The 19,481-nt window shown below is 37.5% G+C and overlaps 1 protein-coding gene across 3 annotated transcripts in view, besides 1 other annotated feature; it reads left to right on the top strand.

Annotated features, from left to right (window-relative positions):
- The window catches only part of CWF19L2 (CWF19 like cell cycle control factor 2), a 131,466-nt gene that overhangs the window by 85,616 nt on the left and 26,369 nt on the right, over positions 1 to 19,481 (top strand). For all 3 annotated transcript variants that reach the window (XR_007062452.1, NM_152434.3, XM_047426419.1), the window contains one exon: positions 18,474 to 18,686. Coding sequence is in view for 2 of the 3 variants with exons in the window: in NM_152434.3 (NP_689647.2) it covers positions 18,474 to 18,686 (213 nt within the window). In the remaining variant the exon portion in view is untranslated. The remainder of the gene's footprint in view (positions 1 to 18,473; positions 18,687 to 19,481) is intronic.
- Positions 9,566 to 10,765: an enhancer, noted in NCBI's record as "BRD4-independent group 4 enhancer chr11:107232171-107233370 (GRCh37/hg19 assembly coordinates)". NCBI's record gives its function as "activates an origin of replication core promoter dependent on BRD2, P300/CBP, MED14 and CDK7 cofactors, and independent of BRD4, by STARR-seq in HCT116 cells {active_cell/tissue: HCT116}" and the evidence as "EXISTENCE:reporter gene assay evidence [ECO:0000049][PMID:35650434]".

Raw genomic sequence — 19,481 nt, 5'->3', positions numbered from 1 at the left:
AATGCTTTAGTTAGTGTCTTTCCCACTATTCTGTAAGTCTCATATGATTGGCTCACCAATATATTCTATCTAGTATAGTCACTAACACATAATAGCATTCAATAAATATTTGTTTTCTGGAGTCTCATATTTGGGACTTGAAGTCAAGTGCATGGAATTCCAGAAACCCCCTTTTCACTATTATACAAAATTGCCTACAAAATTTAGATATATTCTGTTGTTCCCATTGATGTCTGTGATTTTGATTTTGCAACAATAATATTTAAAAAACAAGCACAAAAAAGGATGATGAATAAAATGATGTCTTGGACGTGGAGGTGGGGGGACCATCTTTCATCTCTTATTTTTGTTGTCCTTTTTTGTTGGCTTTCTCCACTTTTTTTGGTAGAGATCACTTTTTAAGAATGTCAGAATGGTGACAGCAATGACCGAGCTGCGGAGAAATTGTCATCTTCAGGTTTTATCATCTAGAACTGTGGTTACAGGGGCAGTCAGATCCTGGGGCAGGTTTCCTGGAACATGTGATTAATTTGTAGTGCACAGAATCAAGAATTGAATATAAATATTTTTAAATTTCAAAAATGATGATATTCTTTCAGTATATTTTAGTGTATAACTAGAACCTCATGTTTAACAAATGGCATGAGCATGTTATTAGCTTGCTTTAATAAAACTAGCAATGTTTTAATAGCACCTTTAAAAAATCAGTCTGTAATTCATGCCGTACTTTAAATATTGAATACATAAAATTACACATAAGTCAATGTCATATGGGAGAATAGTCTTGAGTCCTGCTTCTAATTCCTATCCTTATCTCTTTTCTATCAAGGAATTCAGGTAGGAATTAGGATTTTTTACATCTTGGCATAATATGCATGACCCATTAACACTAAAGATAGAAACTAGAGGCCGGGCGTGGTGGCTCACGCCTGTAATCCCAGCACTTTGGGAGGCCGAGGCGGGCAGATCACGAGGTCAGGAGGTCGATACCATCCTGGCTAACATGGTGAAATCCTGTCTCTACTAAAAATACAAAAAATTAGCCGGCATGGTGGCAGGTGCCTGTAGTCCCAGCTACTCAGGAGGATGAGGCAGGAGAACCCGGGAGGCAGAGCTTGCAGTGAGCCGAGATCGCACCACTGCACTCCAGCCTGGGCGACAGAGTGAGACTCCGTCTCAAAAAAAAAAAAAAAAAAAGAGAAACTAGAAATCTTAACATCGTGAAATAGCAGTTTTCTCGAAAAAGAATAATTTTTGTTAAATAGTTTTCTTAAAGGTATTGTACAGACAAATGATAAAAGGTACTTATGTCTCTCAGTAGTTTAATGTTAAATTATCTATATTACAAAACACAGATGACAGGAATTAGTTATAATGCTCCCGATTCTTTTGGACATACAAATATTCTAATGAAAAACATTGCCACCTGTTTGTCAAAGCCAACATTAAAGTTTATTTTTATTTACTTAGATGGTAAGAAAGTGTAGAATTAAAAACTGTCCTAAATTTTGGTTGCTGACAGGTCAGATCTCATGCTATTTATGGCATCTGAAATATCCACTTCCATTTTCAGTGTTTAAGATGAGGTTTTCTCAATTCTGTGACTCGACCTCAGTGATTTCTTCTCTTTTCCCAGGCCATGCAGTTGTTTTTTTTTTTTCCCTTGAAGAAACAATCACTTATGAAAGAATGACTCATTCTTGTGCCATAAACTTCTCTCTCTAATATGTTAGTTTTAATTCTCAAATCTTTTGTGAGGAACAAAGAAGACAAGAAATCAACTTAAGGGACTCAAATAATCTGGAAATGAAAGAATTTGGTTCTGTTGTCATGATAACTCACAAGATTTTAATATGATTTTATGGAATTCCATTGGTGGGTCTTGTCTTACTCCCCTCCCCTCTTTTTTAAACAGGCTTGGTTAGTTAGCATGATTTATTGAGCATATCTGTTTAGCTGCTGACTTTTTAGTATTGCAGTGGTACATGATTTAATAGAAGAACAACTTTTAGAAATACTGTCACCTAAGAGTTTAGAAATACAGTCACCTTAGAGTTCCTGTAGTAGGATGTATTTTACTTGAGATTTTTCCCTGAAGTTAAACTTAATGGTTATTTAATCATTAGTAGGCTGAGTGTCAAAGGACTGTTGACTTTGTTGGATGCTTATTTGGTAGTTATGTCAATAATGGAAATGTGGATATATTTCTAACCATGTCAAAAAGCTAATATTACAATCCCAACACTGCACTCCAGCCTGGGCTACAGAGTGAGATCCCGTCTCTAAAAAAGAGCTAACACTTGAAAGTTAGTTTTAATTATTTGTAAAAGAACTAGGTAATATTATATTTCATGTAGTGTAAATACATAAGGTGAAGACTAACACCACAGTTATAATTATGCTGTCTTAATACATCATTATTTGCTCTTCTGTGTCTTTATCAAGTTGGCAGTTGGCTCTAGTTCCACTTTGAAAAATAATTTCTTGTTGGAATCATTTTCTTTGGTTGGGTTTTAAATCTTAAAGTAATTTTGAAAATGTATGGAATCAGTGTCCTTACTTTCTTCTAGTAATAAATTATTGTGAATATTTTGACATCAAAATAATGCAATATACAAATGAGAATTAGTAGTAAAAGAGGCAGGATTCAAAAAGTTGCTTCTAGCTAGAATGTCATTGTGGGCCAGGGAATAAGTCAAGCCTATGTGTCTTTTTTTCGTGGTTTGTCATTATGGTTTTAAAAATGTGGCATTTTGTGTTTTTTCTCTTGATACTAGTCAAATGTTTATGGATTGTAGCCTAGCTTTTGTATTTTTGTTCCAAATGCAACAACTATTTATTGATTACCTAGAGAGGGTGCCTCTGAAGCTCTACTTTTATATTATACATAATTCTAATGTATTTGGTTATCCAGTTTTAGAAAAGAAATATAATAAAAGCATCAAATTATAAGTGAAGAAACAGACTACCACAAGGAGCTTATGGCAGTAAGAACTGACAACAGACTTTATAGAGAGCACAAATAATGAAGAAAAAAATGGATAACTAAAAAACCGTGTAACTCTTGCTGATATAGTTAGCATAGAAGCAACTGGCGTTACATTCTGGCCAAGCTAAATTCTGATTTGGAGGAGTTGCTGGAAAGGGAAGAAAGGCCAATGGTTCAATCTTGGGAGGTTGTGTTTCCAGGAATTTATCCATTTTCTCTAGGTTTTCCAGTTTGTGAGCATATAGTTGATCATCATAGTCTCTGATGCTCTTTTGTATTTCTGTGATATCAGTTGTAATGTCTCCTTTTACATTTCTGATTTTGAATGCACCTGGCATTTTGAAGCACCATTCTTGAATTAAAATACATTATTATCACAGTAATTATTGTGTATTATCAGGAAAAGAATAAAGTTTCATTTATTATATTTTAAAAGGCAGGAAAGCTTATAACACTGTTCGGGAATATTTCCTTTCAAAATGACTATAAAAGAAATGTTTTTATACTTAAATGGTAAACCCTTAGCTATTTGGAAAGTTTTGCTAATTAGAAAAACACATTCTGCCAGTTTACATTAACCAAGGTTGTATTCTGAATATCAGTCATAATTTGGCACCTCACACATCATCAGCTGTCAGTCACTGTTTAATAAAATCATTATATCTTTATATCTTTCTTCTCTTCTGTATATGATTATTCATGAAGTTTAGTAGTTACTGTGACGGCAAGTGGATGTGTATGCCAGACAAATTTTCAAAATAGAAGAATCTTTAGCATGCTTAAATACTTAAATTCTGATTTGGAAGAGTTAGATAGGGAAGAAAGGCCAGTGGTTCGTTCAATCTTGGAAGGTTTTATGTTTCCAGGAATTTATCCATTTCGTCTAGGTTTTCTAGTTTGTGAGAATATAGTTGATCATCATAGTCTCTGATGCTCTTTTGTATTTCTGTGATATCAGTTGTAATGTCTGCTTTTACATTTCTGATTTTGTTTATTTGGATCTTATCTCTTGGGTAATTTAGCTAGCAGTTTGTCAATTTTGTTTATCTTTTCAGAGTCAACTTTTTATCTTACTGATCTTTTGTATTTTTGTGTGGGGGGGGGTCTCAATTTATTCTGCCCGGATCTCTCTTTTCTTCTGCTAATTTCAGGTTGGTTCCTTCTTGCTTCTCTAGTTTCTTGAGGTGTCACATTAGATTATTTTTCATTTGTTATTTTTCTACTTTGTTGATGTAGGCATTTAATGCTATAAAATTCTCTCAACATTGCTTTTGCTATATCTCACTGGTTTGGGTATGCTGTATTTGCAGTTTCATTTGTTTAAAAAAATTCAGTAAAGTTTCAGGATACAAAATCAGTGTACAAAAATCAGTAGCATTTCTTTTTTTTTTGTTTTATACTTTAAGTTTTAGGGTACATGTGCACATTGTGCACGTTAGTTACATATGTATACATGTGCCATGCTGGTACGCTGCACCCAGTAACTCGTCATCTAGCATTAGGTATATCTCCCAATGCTATCCCTCCCCCCTCCCCCCACCCCACAACAGTCCCCAGAGTGTGATATTCCCCTTCCTGTGTCCATGTGATCTCATTGTTCAATTCCCACCTATGAGTGAGAATATGCGGTGTTTGGTTTTTTGTTCTTGCAATAGTTTACTGAGAATGATGATTTCCGATTTCATCCATGTCCCTACAAAGGACATGAACTCATCATTTTTTATGGCTGCATAGTATTCCATGGTGTATATGTGCCACATTTTCTTAATCCAGTCTATCATTGTTGGACATTTGGGTTGGTTCCAAGTCTTTGCTATTGTGAATAATGCCTCAATAAACATACGTGTGCATGTGTCTTTATAGCAGCATGATTTATAGTCCTTTGGGTATATACCCAGTAATGGGATGGCTGGGTCAAATGGTATTTCTAGTTCTAGATCCCCGAGGAATCGCCACACTGACTTCCACAATGGTTGAACTAGTTGACAGTCCCACCAACAGTGTAAAAGTGTTCCTATTTCTCCACATCCTCTCCAGCACCTGTTGTTTCCTGACTTTTTAATGATTGCCATTCTAACTGGTGTGAGATGGTATCTCGTTGTGGTTTTGATTTGCATTTCTCTGATGGCCAGTGATGATGAGCATTTTTTCATGTGTTTTTTGGCTGCATAAATGTCTTCTTTTGAGAAGTGTCTGTTCATATCCTGCGCCCACTTGTTGATGGGGTTGTTTGTTTTTTTCTTGTAAATTTGTTTGAGTTCTTTGTAGATTCTGGATATTAGCCCTTTGTCAGATGAGTAGGTTGCGAAAATTTTCTCCCATTTTGTAGGTTGCCTGTTCACTCTGATGGTAGTTTCTTTTGCTGTGCAGAAGCTCTTTTGTTTAATTAGATCCCATTTGTCAATTTTGGCTTTTGTTGCCATTGCTTTTGGTGTTTTAGACATGAAGTCCTTGCCCATGCCTATGTCCTGAATGGTGACGCCTAGGTTTTCTTCTAGGGTTTTTATGGTTTTAGGTCTAACGTTTAAGTCTTTAATCCATCTTGTATTGATTTTTGTATAAGGTGTAAGGAAGGGATCCAGTTTCAGCTTTCTACATATGGCTAGCCAGCTTTCCCAGCACCATTTATTAAATAGGGAATCCTTTCCCCATTGCTTGTTTTTCTCAGGTTTGTCAAAGATCAGATAGTTGTAGATATGCGGCGTTATTTCTGACGGCTCTGTTCTCTTCCATTGATCTATATCTCTGTTTTGGTACCAGTACCATGCTGTTTTGGTTACTGTAGCCTTGTAGTATAGTTTGAAGTCAGGTAGTGTGATGCCTCCAGCTTTGTTCTTTTGGCTCAGGATTGACTTGGCGATGCGGGCTCTTTTTTGGTTCCATATGAACTTTAAAGTAGTTTTTTCCAATTCTGTGAAGAAAGTCATTGGTAGCTTGATGGGGATGGCATTGAATCTGTAAATTACCTTGGGCAGTATGGCCATTTTCACAATATTGATTCTTCCTACCCATGAGCATGGAATGTTCTTCCATTTGTTTGTATCCTCTTTTATTTCCTTGAGCAGTGGTTTGTAGTTCTCCTTGAAGAGGTCCTTCACATCCCTTGTAAGTTGGATTCCTAGGTATTTTATTCTCTTTGAAGCAATTGTGAATGGGAGTTCACTCATGATTTGGCTCTCTGTTTGTCTGTTATTGGTGTATAAGAATGCTTGTGATTTTTGTACATTGATTTTGTATCCTGAGACTTTGCTGAAGTTGCTTATGAGCTTAAGGAGATTTTGGGCTGAGACAGTGGGGTTTTCTAGATATACAATCATGTCGTCTGCAAACAGGGACAGTTTGACTTCCTCTTTTCCTAATTGAATACCCTTTATTTCCTTCTCCTGCCTAATTGCCCTGGCCAGAACTTCCAACACTATGTTGAATAGGAGTGGTGAGAGAGGGCATCCCTGTCTTGTGCCAGTTTTCAAAGGGAATGCTTCCAGTTTTTGCCCATTCAGTATGATATTGGCTGTGGGTTTGTCATAGATAGCTCTTATTATTTTGAGATACGTCCCATCAATACCTAATTTATTGAGAGTTTTTAGCATGAAGCGTTGTTGAATTTTGTCAAAGGCTTTTTCTGCATCTATTGAGAGAATCATGTGGTTTTTGTCTTTGGCTCTGTTTATATGCTGGATTACATTTATTGATTTGCGTATATTGAACCAGCCTTGCATCCCAGGGATGAAGCCCACTTGATCATGGTGGATAAGCTTTTTGATGTGCTGCTGGATTCGTTTTGCCAGTATTTTATTGAGGATTTTTGCATCAATGTTCATCAAGGATATTGGTCTAAAATTCTCTTTTTTGGTTGTGTCTCTGCCCGGCTTTGGTATCAGAATGATGCTGGCCTCATAAAATGAGTTAGGGAGGATTCCCTCTTTTTCTATTGATTGGAATAGTTTCAGAAGGAATGGTACCAGTTCCTCCTTGTACCTCTGATAGAATTCGGCTGTGAATCCATCTGGTCCTGGACTCTTTTTCATTGGTAAGCTATTGATTGTTGCCACAATTTCAGCTCTTCTTATTGGTCTATTCAGAGATTCAACTTCTTCCTGGTTTAGTCTTGGGAGAGTGTATGTGTCGAGGAATTTATCCATTTCTTCTAGATTTTCTAGTTTATTTGCATAGAGGTGTTTGTAGTATTCTCTGATGGTAGTTTGTATTTCTGTGGGATCGGTGGTGATATCCCCTTTATCATTTTTTATTGCGTCTATTTGATTCTTCTCTCTTTTTTTCTTTATTAGTCTTGCTAGCGGTCTATCAATTTTGTTGATCCTTTCAAAAAACCAGCTCCTGGATTCATTAATTTTTTGAAGGGTTTTTTGTGTCTCTATTTCCTTCAGTTCTGCTCTGATTTTAGTTATTTCTTGCCTTCTGCTAGCTTTTGAATGTGTTTGCTCTTGCTTTTCTAGTTGTTTTAATTGTGATGTTAGGGTGTCAATTTTGGATCTTTCCTGCTTTCTCTTGTGGGCATTTAGTGCTATAAATTTCCCTCTACACACTGCTTTGAATGCGTCCCAGAGATTCTGGTATGTTGTGTCTTTGTTCTTGTTGGTTTCAAAGAACATCTTTATTTCTGCTTTCATTTCGTTATGTACCCAGTAGTCATTCAGGAGCAGGTTGTTCAGTTTCCATGTAGTTGAGCGGTTTTGAGTGAGATTCTTAATCCTGAGTTCTAGTTTGATTGCACTGTGGTCTGAGAGAGAGTTTGTTATAATTTCTGTTCTTTTACATTTGCTGAGGAGAGCTTTACTTCCAAGTATGTGGTCAATTTTGGAATAGATGTGGTGTGGTGCTGAAAAAAATGTATATTCTGTTGATTTGGGGTGGAGAGTTCTGTAGATGTATATTAGGTCCGCTTGAGGCAGAGCTGAGTTCAATTCCTGGGTATCCTTGTTGACTTTCTGTCTCGTTGATCTGTCTAATGTTGACAGTGGGGTGTTAAAGTCTCCCATTATTAATGTGTGGGAGTCTAAGTCTCTTTGTAAGTCACTGAGGACTTGCTTTATGAATCTGGGTGCTCCTGTATTGGGTGCATATATATTTAGGATAGTTAGCTCTTCTTGTTGAATTGATCCCTTTACCATTAAGTAATGGCCTTCTTTGTCTCTTTTGATTTTTGTTGGTTTAAAGTCTGTTTTATCAGAGACTAGGATTGCAACCCCTGCCTTTTTTTGTTTTCCATTTGCTTGGTAGATCTTCCTCCATCCTTTTATTTTGAGCCTATGTGTGTCTCTGCCCGTGAGATGGGTTTCCTGAATACAGCACACTGATGGTTCTTGATTCTTTATCCAATTTGCCAGTCTGTGTCTTTTAATTGGAGCATTTAGTCCATTTACATTTAAAGTTAATATTGTTATGTGTGAATTTGATCCTGTCATTATGATGTTAGCTGGTGATTTTGCTCGTTAGTTGATGCAGTTTCTTCCTAGTCTCGATGGTCTTTACATTTTGGCATGATTTTGCAGCGGCTGGTACCGGTTGTTCCTTTCCATGTTTAGCACTTCCTTCAGGAGCTCTTTTAGGGCAGGCCTGGTGGTGACAGAATCTCTCAGCATTTGCTTGTCTGTAAAGTATTTTATTTCTCCTTCACTTAGGAAGCTTAGTTTGGCTGGATATGAAATTCTGGGTTGAAAATTCTTTTCTTTAAGAATGTTGAATATTGGCCCCCACTCTCTTCTGGCTTGTAGAGTTTCTGCCTAGAGATCCGCTGGTAGTCTGATGGGCTTCCCTTTGAGGGTAACCCGACCTTTCTCTCTGGCTGCCCTTAACATTTTTCCTTCATTTCAACTTTGGTGAATCTGACAATTATGTGTCCTGGTGTTGCTCTTCTCGAGGAGTATCTTTGTGGCATTCTCTGTACTTCCTGAATCTGAACGTTGGCCTGCCTTGCTAGATTGGGGAAGTTCTCCTGGATAATATCCCGCAGAGTGTTTTCCAACTTGGTTCCATTCTCCCTGTCACTTTCAGGTACACCAATCCGACGTAGATTTGGTCTTTTCACATAGTCCCATATTTCTTGGAGGCTTTGCTCATTTCTTTTTATTCTTTTTTCTCTAAACTTCCCTTCTCGCTTCATTTCATTCATTTCATCTTCCATCGCTGATACCCTTTCTTCCAGTTGATCTCATCAGCTCCTGAGGCTTCTGCATTCTTCACGTAGTTCTCGAGCCTTGGTTTTCAGCTCCATCAGCTCCTTTAAGCACTTCTCTGTATTGGTTGTTCTAGTTATACATTCTGCTAAATTTTTTTCAAAGTTTTCAACTTCTTTGCCTTTGGTTCGAGTGTCCTCCCGTAGGTCGGAGTAATTTGATCGTCTGAAGCCTTCTTCTCTCAGCTCGTCAAAGTCATTCTCCATCCAGCTTTGTTCCGTTGCTGGTGAGGAACTGCGTTCCTTTGGAGGAGGAGAGGCGCTCTGCGTTTTAGAGTTTCCAGTTTTTCTGTTCTGTTTTTTCCCCATCTTTGTGGTTTTATCTACTTTTGGTCTTTGATGATGGTGATGTACAGATGGGTTTTTGGTGTGGATGTCCTTTCTGTTTGTTAGTTTTCCTTCTAACAGACAGGACCCTCAGCTGCAGGTCTGTTGGAGTACCCAGCCATGTGAGGTGTCAGTCTGCCCCTCCTGGGGGTGCCTCCCAGTTAGGCTGCTCGGGGGTCAGGGGTCAGGGACCCACTTGAGGAGGCAGTCTGCCCGTATTCAGATCTCCAGCTGCGTGCTGGGAGAACCACTGCTGTCTTCAAAGCTGTCAGACAGGGACATTTAAGTCTGCAGAGGTTACTGCTGTCTTTTTGTTTGTTTGTGCCCTGCCCCCAGAGGTGAAGCCTACAGAGGCAGGCAGTCCTCCTTGAGCTGTGGTGGGCTCCACCCAGTTCGAGCTTCCTGGCTGCTTTGTTTACCTAAGCAAGCCTGGGCAATGGCGGGCGCCCCTTCCCCCTGCCTCGCTGCCGCCTTGCAGTTTGATCTCAGCTGCTGTGGTAGCAATCAGCGAGACTCCGTGGGCGTAGGACCCTCCGAGCCAGGTGCGGGATATAATCTCGTAGTGTGCCGTTTTTTAAGCCGGTCTGAAAAGCGCAATATTTGGGTGGGAGTGACTCGATTTTCCAGGTGCGTCCGTCACCCCTTTCTTTGACTCAGAAAGGGAACTCCCTGACCCCTTGCGCTTCCCAAGTGCGGCAATGCCTCGCCCTGCTTCGGCTCACGCACGGTGCGTGCACCCACTAACCTGCGCCCACTGTCTGGCACTCCCTAGTGAGATGAACCCGGTACCTCAGATGGAAATGCACAAATCACCCGTCTTCTGCGTCTCTCACGCTTGGAGCTGTAGACCAGAGCTCTTCCTGTTCGGCCATCTTGGCTCCTCCCCCAACATCTTCCAGTAGCATTTCTATACACCATAACAGTGTAGCTGAGAATGAAGTCATCAAGGTAATCCCATTTACAATAGCTATAAAAAATAATACCTAGGAATATATTTAACCAAGGAGGTGAAAGATCTCTACAGGGAAAAGTATAAAGCACCTGTGAAAGAAATCGTAGATGACACAAATAAATGGAAAAACATCCCATTCTCATGGACCAGAAGACTTAATATCATTAAAATTGCCATACTGGCCAGAGTAATCTACAGGTTGATTATAATCTCTATCAACATACCAACAGCATTTTTCACAGAATTAGAACAAACAATATTAAAATTCATATGGAACCAAAAAAGAGCCTTAATAGCCAAAGAAATCCTAAGCAAAAACAATAAAAAAAACCCAAAGCTGCAAAGCTGCAGGCATCTGATTACCTGACTTCAAATTATACTGAAAACGCTATAGTAACCAAAACAGCTTGGTACTGACGTAAACAATAGACAGCCAGATCAATGGAACAGAATAGGAAATATTGAAATAAAGCCACATATTTACAATCAACTGATCTTTGACAAAGTTGACACGAACATACACCGGGGAAAAGATACTCTTTTCAGTAAATGGTGCTGGGAAAATTGGTTTGCCCTATGCAGAAGAAGTATGAAACTGGACCCATATCTCTGAACATACACAAAAATCAACTTAAGATGGATTAAAGACTTACATGGAGAACTTGAAACCATAAAAACTCTAGAAGAAAACCTAGGGGAAACTCTTCTGGACATTGATCTAGGCGAAGAATTCATTACTAAGACCTCAAAAGCCTGAGCAATAAAAACAAAGACAAATGACAGTTAATTAAACTAAAAAGCTTTATGAACAGATAGCCTGCACAGTGCGAGAAAATATTTGCAAAATATGCATTTGTCAAGGGTCTAATATCCAAGAATATACAAGGAACTCAATTCAGCAACAACAACAAATAGTCCCACTAAAAAGTGGGCAAGGATATGAATAGATATCTTTCAAAAGAGGATATGCAAATGGTCAACAGGTAAATGAAAAAATGTTCAACATCGCTAATCATCTGAAAAATGGGCATTAAAACCACAGTGAGATATTATCGTACCCCAGCCAGAATGGCTACTATTAAAAATTTAAAAAACTAACAGATGCTTGTGAGGATGTGGAGATAAGGGAGCTCTTATGCACTGTTGTGGGGAATGTAAATTGGTACGGCCTCTATGGAAAACGGTATGGAGATTTCTCAAAGAACTAAAAGTAGAACTATCATTTGATTCAGCAATCCCATTACTAGGTATCTATCTACTCAAAGGGAAATAAATCATTATAAAAAATACCCCCACTTGTATGTCTATTGTGGCAGTGTTCACAAGATTAAAGATAATGTAATCAACCTGTGTCTATCAGTGGATGATTGGATAAACAAAGTGTGGTATATATACACAATGGAATACTATTCACCCATAAGAAAGAATGAAATTGTGTTTTTTGTTTTTGTTTTTGTTTTTGTTTTTTGCTGCAACATAAATGAATCTGGAAGTCATTATCTTAAGTGAAACAAGTCGGGCACAGAAAGACAAATATCACATGTTCTCACTTTTAAGTGGGAGCTAAATAATGTATACACATGGATGTAGAGAATGGAATAATAGAAAATAGAGACTCAGAAGAATAAGGGGGTGGGAGGAGGACAGATGATGAGAAATTACTTAATGGATGCAATGTACATTATTTGAGTGATGAATACTTTAAATGCCCTGACTTCATCACTATGCAATCTATGCATGCAACAGGAGAATACTAAGAGGCACCCTCAAGGATCTCCTACATTCCAGCCATACTTCCTCTTACCTCCGTTGTGTAGTCCAATCCAATTTGCCCTTGATAGGATCAGTGGCTTCAGCCAATACAATGCCTTTTCATTCAGTGGAGTGAGGAGTCATAGCAGCGAGGTAGCAGTCTCAACTTCAAGTTCGGTGAGTCGTTGTTGTGTCCCTTGGTGGAAGTATTCCTTCTTTTTTTTTTTCCTTTGTAAAATGTAGATGGGGTTCTGCCATGTTGCCCAGGCTGGTCTTGAACTCCTGGGTTCAAGGAGTCTTCCTGCCTCCTTCCTTGGCCTCCCAAAGTGCTGGGATTACAGGTGTGAACCACTGTGCCTGGCCCTGTATTTCTCCTTTTCGAACTAAAACCTCTAGACCGGTAGAGTCTAAAGTCACAGGAATGGGAAGCAAAAATTTTGCTAGTTTATCACAAAGGGTAATAGTCACTCCTGTTTTTTCCCTAAGATTCCCAGACCTGTGGATCCTAGTTGTGGATCATCATTGTTTGGATGCTGACTTAGAGCATATACTATATCCTGGAAGACATAGCCCAGCCCTACAAGGGATAGTCACCTGGCTGGTACTTGTAATTACATCTTCAAAAGGACAGTTCACTGTTCTGTCCAGACATCTACTTCAGAATGATGGGGATTTTGGCAGAAGCATGGCATGCCAGGAAGGCAAATCCATATCCAAAGTATCTATTCCAGTAAGAAGAAAGCACTGCCCCTTCCAGGATGGAAGCGGCCTGTTGTATTCACCTTGCTGCTAGAGGGAGAGTTATCCTATCGGGCTCAGTGTTGGTCTCTGTTGTTGGCAGACTGGGTATTCAGCAGTGTATGTAGCCCAGTTGGCTTTGGTGAGTCCAAACTCATGATGGTAAGCTCATGTGTAACTTTTATCTGTGCATGGCTGTTTTGTTCACAAGCTTTGAGACGATGATAGGAGTAGCTAATGACATAAGTACTGTCATGTGGGAGATAAGTATCCTTGTACTCTGTATCTGTTTGCATAACTCTTTCCCAGACCTCCTTGTCATCAATTCTCTAATTGTGTTCTAAGTCCCTGACCATCCAGCCAAATATGATGTTGGGGAGTCCTCAAGACCAGCTTTACTCCTGACACCAGCTGCAGGTTCAGAGGTCCCTAAGGCCACTCTTGGGTTCAATATTTTACTGGAAAGACTCACAGAATTGACTAAAAGCTGTTACTCTCATGGTTAAAGTTGATTACAGTGAAAAAATACAGATTAAAATTAGCTAATCCTCTCAACTCTTCCTCCTTAAGCCCTAAGCAGCTACTAATCTATTTTGTCTATAGATTTCCCTGTTCTCGACATTTCATATGAATGGAATCATAGAATAGTGTTTTTTTAAATGACTGACTTTTTTCACTTAGCATAATGTTTTTATAGATCATCCATGTTGTAACAAGTATCAGTACTTCATTCTTTTTATGGCTAAATAATACTACATTGTGGAGTTTCTTGGTCATGTGGTAACTCAACCTTGTCCAACCCATGGCTTGTGGGCCACATGTGGCCCAGGACAACTTTGAATGCACCCCAACACAAATTTGTAAACTTTCTTCAAATATTACGAGCTTTTTGTGATTTTTTTTTTTTTTTTTAGCTCATCAGTTATCAGTAGTGTTAGTGTATTTTATGTGGGGCCCAAGATGGTTCTTCTTCCAATGTGGCCCAGGGAAGCCAAAAGATTGGGCACCCCTGTGGTAAGCCATATGTTTAATATTTTATTAATTAATCTATATTGAAATGTTTGAGGAACTACCAGACTGTTTTCCAAAGCAGCTGCACTATCTTACATTCCCATCAGCAGTGTGTGAGGGTTCTTATTTTACCACATCCTTGACAACACTTGTTATTATCTGTCTATTTGATTGTAGCCATCCTAGTGAGTGTGAAATGGCTAACTCACTGTCATTTAGTTTGTGTTTATGGTGCGCCAAATTGATTTTGTATAATATAATCAGCTTTTTAAAGGGTTCTGTCTAAATGATGAAGAGGCATATTTTCATGCTCCTCTTTTCTTTATCTCCTTTCATCCAGCAGTTTTGTTCACTTTTTCCATCTTACACTTAGTACATTCTCCACTATCTTTTACCAGTCTATCTGTTAAAAAATGTTGATTGTTACTCTCAAATAATGAGAATACGGTAGGCTGGAGGTCATAGAAGAGGTATATATGATTGATAAATTAAAAATATTTGTATCAAAGCCTAAAGAAAAGATAATGAGTAAAAATGCAAATAATTTGAGGCTGCAGGAGGAGGGAATTAATTGTTCCTGGATCAGTAGGGACCATATTTCAGTTATATTGAAGAATCAGTCAGACTTAATTGGCAAGACTGTATCATTTTCAATTCAAACACTACAAATAAATCAGAGAGGTTTGGCAACATCCATGAAAACTAGATTTAAGAGTAGAAATACCATCTTCCATGTATAAAACATTTGATTTGAATTGAATATTTTCTGTGATCATTTATGAACTTTCCAAAAACACAATGGGCTATATCATATGAAGGCACAATTATGTATGTATAAATGTGTATTGTGCTCCTGTTAATATATTTTGGATAAGATAAATACCTACCTAGATATCTGCGTTCCCACTGTTAAGTACCTTAACTTGATTTGGTATGTTTATTCTAGATGAAATAAGTTTTCTTCTAGCTCTTTATTCTGCTTCATAGACTATATTCACAGTATGCCCTTTCTGTGTTTCAAACATTGATTTCTTAAGGGAAAAAGCCTCACTTATATGCCAGACACTGCAGTTTTGTATTCAGACCAACCAGTTTTGATTCCTGGTTCTGTCCTTTAATAGCTGTGTGATTTTGGTTAAGTTACTTAGTTTCTGTTAGTCTCGGTTTTTTGTTTTTGTTTTTGTTTTTGTTTTTGTTTTGTTGTTTGAGACGCAGTTTCACTCTTGTTGCCCAGGCTGGAGTGCAATGGCGTGATTTCGGCCCACAGCAACCTCCGCCTCCTGGGTTCAAGCAATTCTCCTGCCTCAGCCTCCTGAGTAGCTGGGATTACAGGCATGTGCCACCACGCCTGGCTAATTTTTGTATTTTTAGTAGAGACAGGGTTTCTCCATGTTGGTCAGGTTGGTCTCAAACTCCCAACCTCAGGTGATCCGCCCACCTCCACCTCCCAAAATGCTGGGATTACAGGCATGAGCCACTGTGCCTGGCCTAGCCTCAGTTTTTAATCTGTCAAGTGAAAATAAAAATTTCTGTGTTGCAGAAATATTTGGATTAGAATTACTATCTGGCATGTAGTTGGACACTATTTCATGAAAATGATTAGTGACCAGTTCTGATATTTTTTAGAATGTAATGAATTATGGTTTAGATGAAGATATAAAGTTAAAATAAATTTAAAATAATAATTTGTAAGGCAATGCAGTTTACATAAATAGACAAACCTGGAAAAGTCAAGAAGTATACAAGGACTAATATGTAGAATATTGTGGAAGAAAAAAATAAATTGCTAGTAGAAACAAGGAAGTCAGTGTGCTCTAAGAAATGCCTTGGTAATAATCTTTTTACCTGATTCTTTCAGTAATGGTGTTAAATAAATTTTCTTCTATTTACATTGGGTTTTATTTTTTCTTTTTCTAGTTTCTTAAGGTGGCAGTTGGCATCATTGATTTGAGACCTTTCTTGTCTTTTAATACAGATGTTTAATGCTATAATTTTCCCTCTAAATTATGCTTTAGCAGCATACCACAAATTCTGATATGTTGTATTTTTGTTTTATTGCTGTTTAAAGTCATTTCTCATTGTCTTTTTTTGTTGTTGTTGTTGATTCATGGGTCATTTAGAAGTGCACAATACCAGGTATGTGGCAGTTTTCCAAAAATATTTTTCCAAAAATATTTCTGTTACTGATTTTTAATTCCATTGTGTTCAGAGAACATACTTTAAGTTACTAGAATCCTTTTAAATTTATTGAGACTTGTGCTATGACCCAGAATGTCATCTAGCTTGGTTGATATTCCATGTACAATTGAGAAGAACGTATATTTTGCGCTGTTGGGTGGAATTTCTATTAATGTCAATTAAGTCAAGTTGGTTGATAGTGTGTTCAAGTCTTCGACGTAGCTATTGCTTTTCTGTTTGTGCTACCAATTATAGAGAGTGAGGTATTTAAAATCTGTGATTACAGTTGGGATTTGTCTGTTTCTTTGGCAGTTCTATCAAGTTTTTTGTTATGCATTTTGAAATTCTGTTATTAGGTATATAAACTTTAGGATTGTTATGTCCTCTTAAAATTTTTCTTTTCAACTTACATAATCTACAGAATGTTGTGTCCTCTTGATGTTATGATTCCTTTATCAGGTGACCTTTTATCATTCATAATACTATATGCTATGAAATCTGCTTTGTCTGACATGAATAGAACTGCTCCATCTTCAAATCATTTAAAATGCTAACATCCAAGCATCTTTTTATTGCTTTGTGTTTGATGATAACATGTAGTTTTGTTTTTTGTTGTTGTTGTTGTTGCTTTTGTTTGTTTTTTTTTTTTTTGAGACGGAGTTTCGCTCTTGTCGCCCAGTCTAGAGTGCAGTGGCGCTATCTTGGCTCACTGCAACCTCCATCTCCCTGGTTCAAGCGATTCTCCTGTCTCAGCCTCCTGAGTAGCTGGGATTATAGGCATGGACCACCACGCCCGGCTACTTTTGTATTTTTAGTAAAGACGGGGTTTCACCATGTTGGTCAGGCTGGTCTCAAACTCCTGGACCTCGTGATCCGCCTGCCTTGGCTGCCCAAAGTGCAGGGATTACAGGTGTGAGCCACCGCGCCTGGCCTGTTTTGTTTTTAATACTTAGTACTTTAATACTTCCATTACACTAAGTAATTTACATTACACTTAGTACTTTAGTACTTATATTACACTTAGTAGAATGCAGTGTAATGGAAAAAAAAGACAAGTTAATGAGTGTGATACAGTGTAGTCATCCTGAGACTGACAGCAGTACAAGTACACATTGGAGGGGCTTGCAAGATGGAGGAAGTTTCTTTGATGGAAATGACAGCTAATTCTTACCATAGTATTGAAAAATGAGTAGAATTAAACCTCATGGGTTGACCCAGGAAGACACTTACTACAACTGATGAGACAGCCTGTCAGGAAATAAGGATGCCAAGGACAGAATAACTGCAGTCATGTGCCAATGCAGCAGGTATAAATAAGTGTAAATGTGCTGTAATTCTTTATGGGTGGCTGAGATAATGACATCTTTGCCTTCTGATAGTTCAATATACATAAACTTTGTTTCATGCACAAAATTATTAAAAATATTATATACAGTTACCTTAGGGCTATGCATTTAAGGTACATAGGAAACATAAATGAACTTCATTTTAGACTTGCATCCCATCCCCATGATACTATATATATGCAAATATTCCAAAATTGGAAAAAATTGGAAATCTAAAACTCTTCTGGTCCCAAGCATTTGGATAAGGGATACGCAGGCAGTATTGTTACAACCATTGTAAAATGAGGAAATAAGGCATAGAGAGAGCACAGAGAAATTAAATAATATGTTCAAGGTTATACACACAGGAGATAGAACTTTACCATGGTCATTTTGACTGTGGAATCTAAGCTTTAAACCATTATGACTTTATGTATGTATGATTTAGTTGGCTTTCAAGTTCAAGAGTTTGAACTTCATTCTGTACACAGTATAGAACTCTCATAACTACCTAAGGAGGTACATAAAATAAGAAAATAAAATTTGTGTTTTTGTATTTTGAAAGCATCAATCTGTCCATAGTTCATGTTGGGAGAGATATGGAGAAGGTACCTGGAGATGTGGTTAAAAAAAAAAAAAAAGTTCCACATTCTATATAGTGTATATGTGAATTTTTAAAGTTACAATTTAAACCTCTCTGTGATTCAGTTTCCTCATCTATTAGTTGAAAATGAAAATGCTAATGGTCCCCACCACATAGGAGTATAAAACATGAACAAGTCATATAGAATTGTATATAGTAAATATTCAGTAAACTTTAGCTGTGGTGATGATGATGATAGATTGACTCTAGAAGATCAAACAAATATTAATCATGTTTTTTCTTTTCTTTTAAATGTATTAGTTTTATCATAGAACTTACAGATACAGATTTAGGATACCACAGTGCAGTAAAATCTTAATCACTACCTTCTACTCTCTATTACTGTTATTTTGGTTTTTCAGTTTATGGGAAAAACAGATGGAGACTATTACACCCTGGATGACATGTTTGTCTCCAAAGCAGCTGAGAGAGAACGTCTTGGTGAAGAGGAAGAGAACCAAAGGAAAAAAGCTATTGCTGAGCATCGGAGTCTTGCTGCACAAATGGAAAAATGTCTGTATTGTTTTGACAGCTCTCAATTTCCCAAGCATCTTATTGTTGCAATAGGTGTTAAGGTAAGAAGTATTTATTATCCTTTGCTTACATTCTCATAGAACTTTTTTTGTTTCTTCATAGAATAACTTGAATAAGTTTATTATTTTGTCTGTTTTACTTGTTTATTGGGTCTTTCCCCTAATAATTTTTAAGCTCCGTGAAGACAGAGATAACTTTTGTTCTCCATTGTATACAAAGCATCTAGCCCTGGTTGTAGTACATAATAGTAATTCATTTCAATAAATACTTATTGATTTAATTCTTACATTGAATAAATAATTTTTGTATACCTAATATCTGCCATACCCTAATTAGTCACTGGGGAAAAGTTGAGACTCAGACTTTTAGACCTTATGACTAGTGAAATAAGGCAGTAAATAAAGTAATAATTGCCCTGATTTGAAAGAATTAATTGTCATAAAGCAAGTAAAGTGAGGAAATGGGAGAAAGTGATGGGGGTATTTTTTTCACAAGGTAGTCTGGAAGGCTTCTCTGAGGAACTTTAGTAAAGATGCATAAAATGGGAAGGACAAGTAACCTGAAGATAGGAATGAATAATGTTTCAGGAAGGACTGTCAGTGAAAAGCCCTGAGGAGGAAATGAGCTTAGCATTGGTGGAGCAGAAAGAAGGCAGGAGTGGAGTCAGTGAGAAAAGTAGAAGAAGTTGAATGAATGAATGAATGCTAGTTTCAGGAACGAATAGTTTGGGAAACATACATGTACATATTTATGTTGTTTATTGTATACATACACATACCCCTAGTCTTTAATATCTTTAGGTTGTTGAGGTGGTTACATCAGTGTCCATTCTGGCT

This window comes from Homo sapiens, chromosome 11, assembly GCF_000001405.40.
Source record: "Homo sapiens chromosome 11, GRCh38.p14 Primary Assembly".
In the NCBI taxonomy this organism is placed as follows: domain Eukaryota; kingdom Metazoa; phylum Chordata; class Mammalia; order Primates; family Hominidae; genus Homo; species Homo sapiens.
Note: the sequence above shows the minus strand (reverse complement) of the source record. Positions and strands in the feature narration are given on the sequence as shown.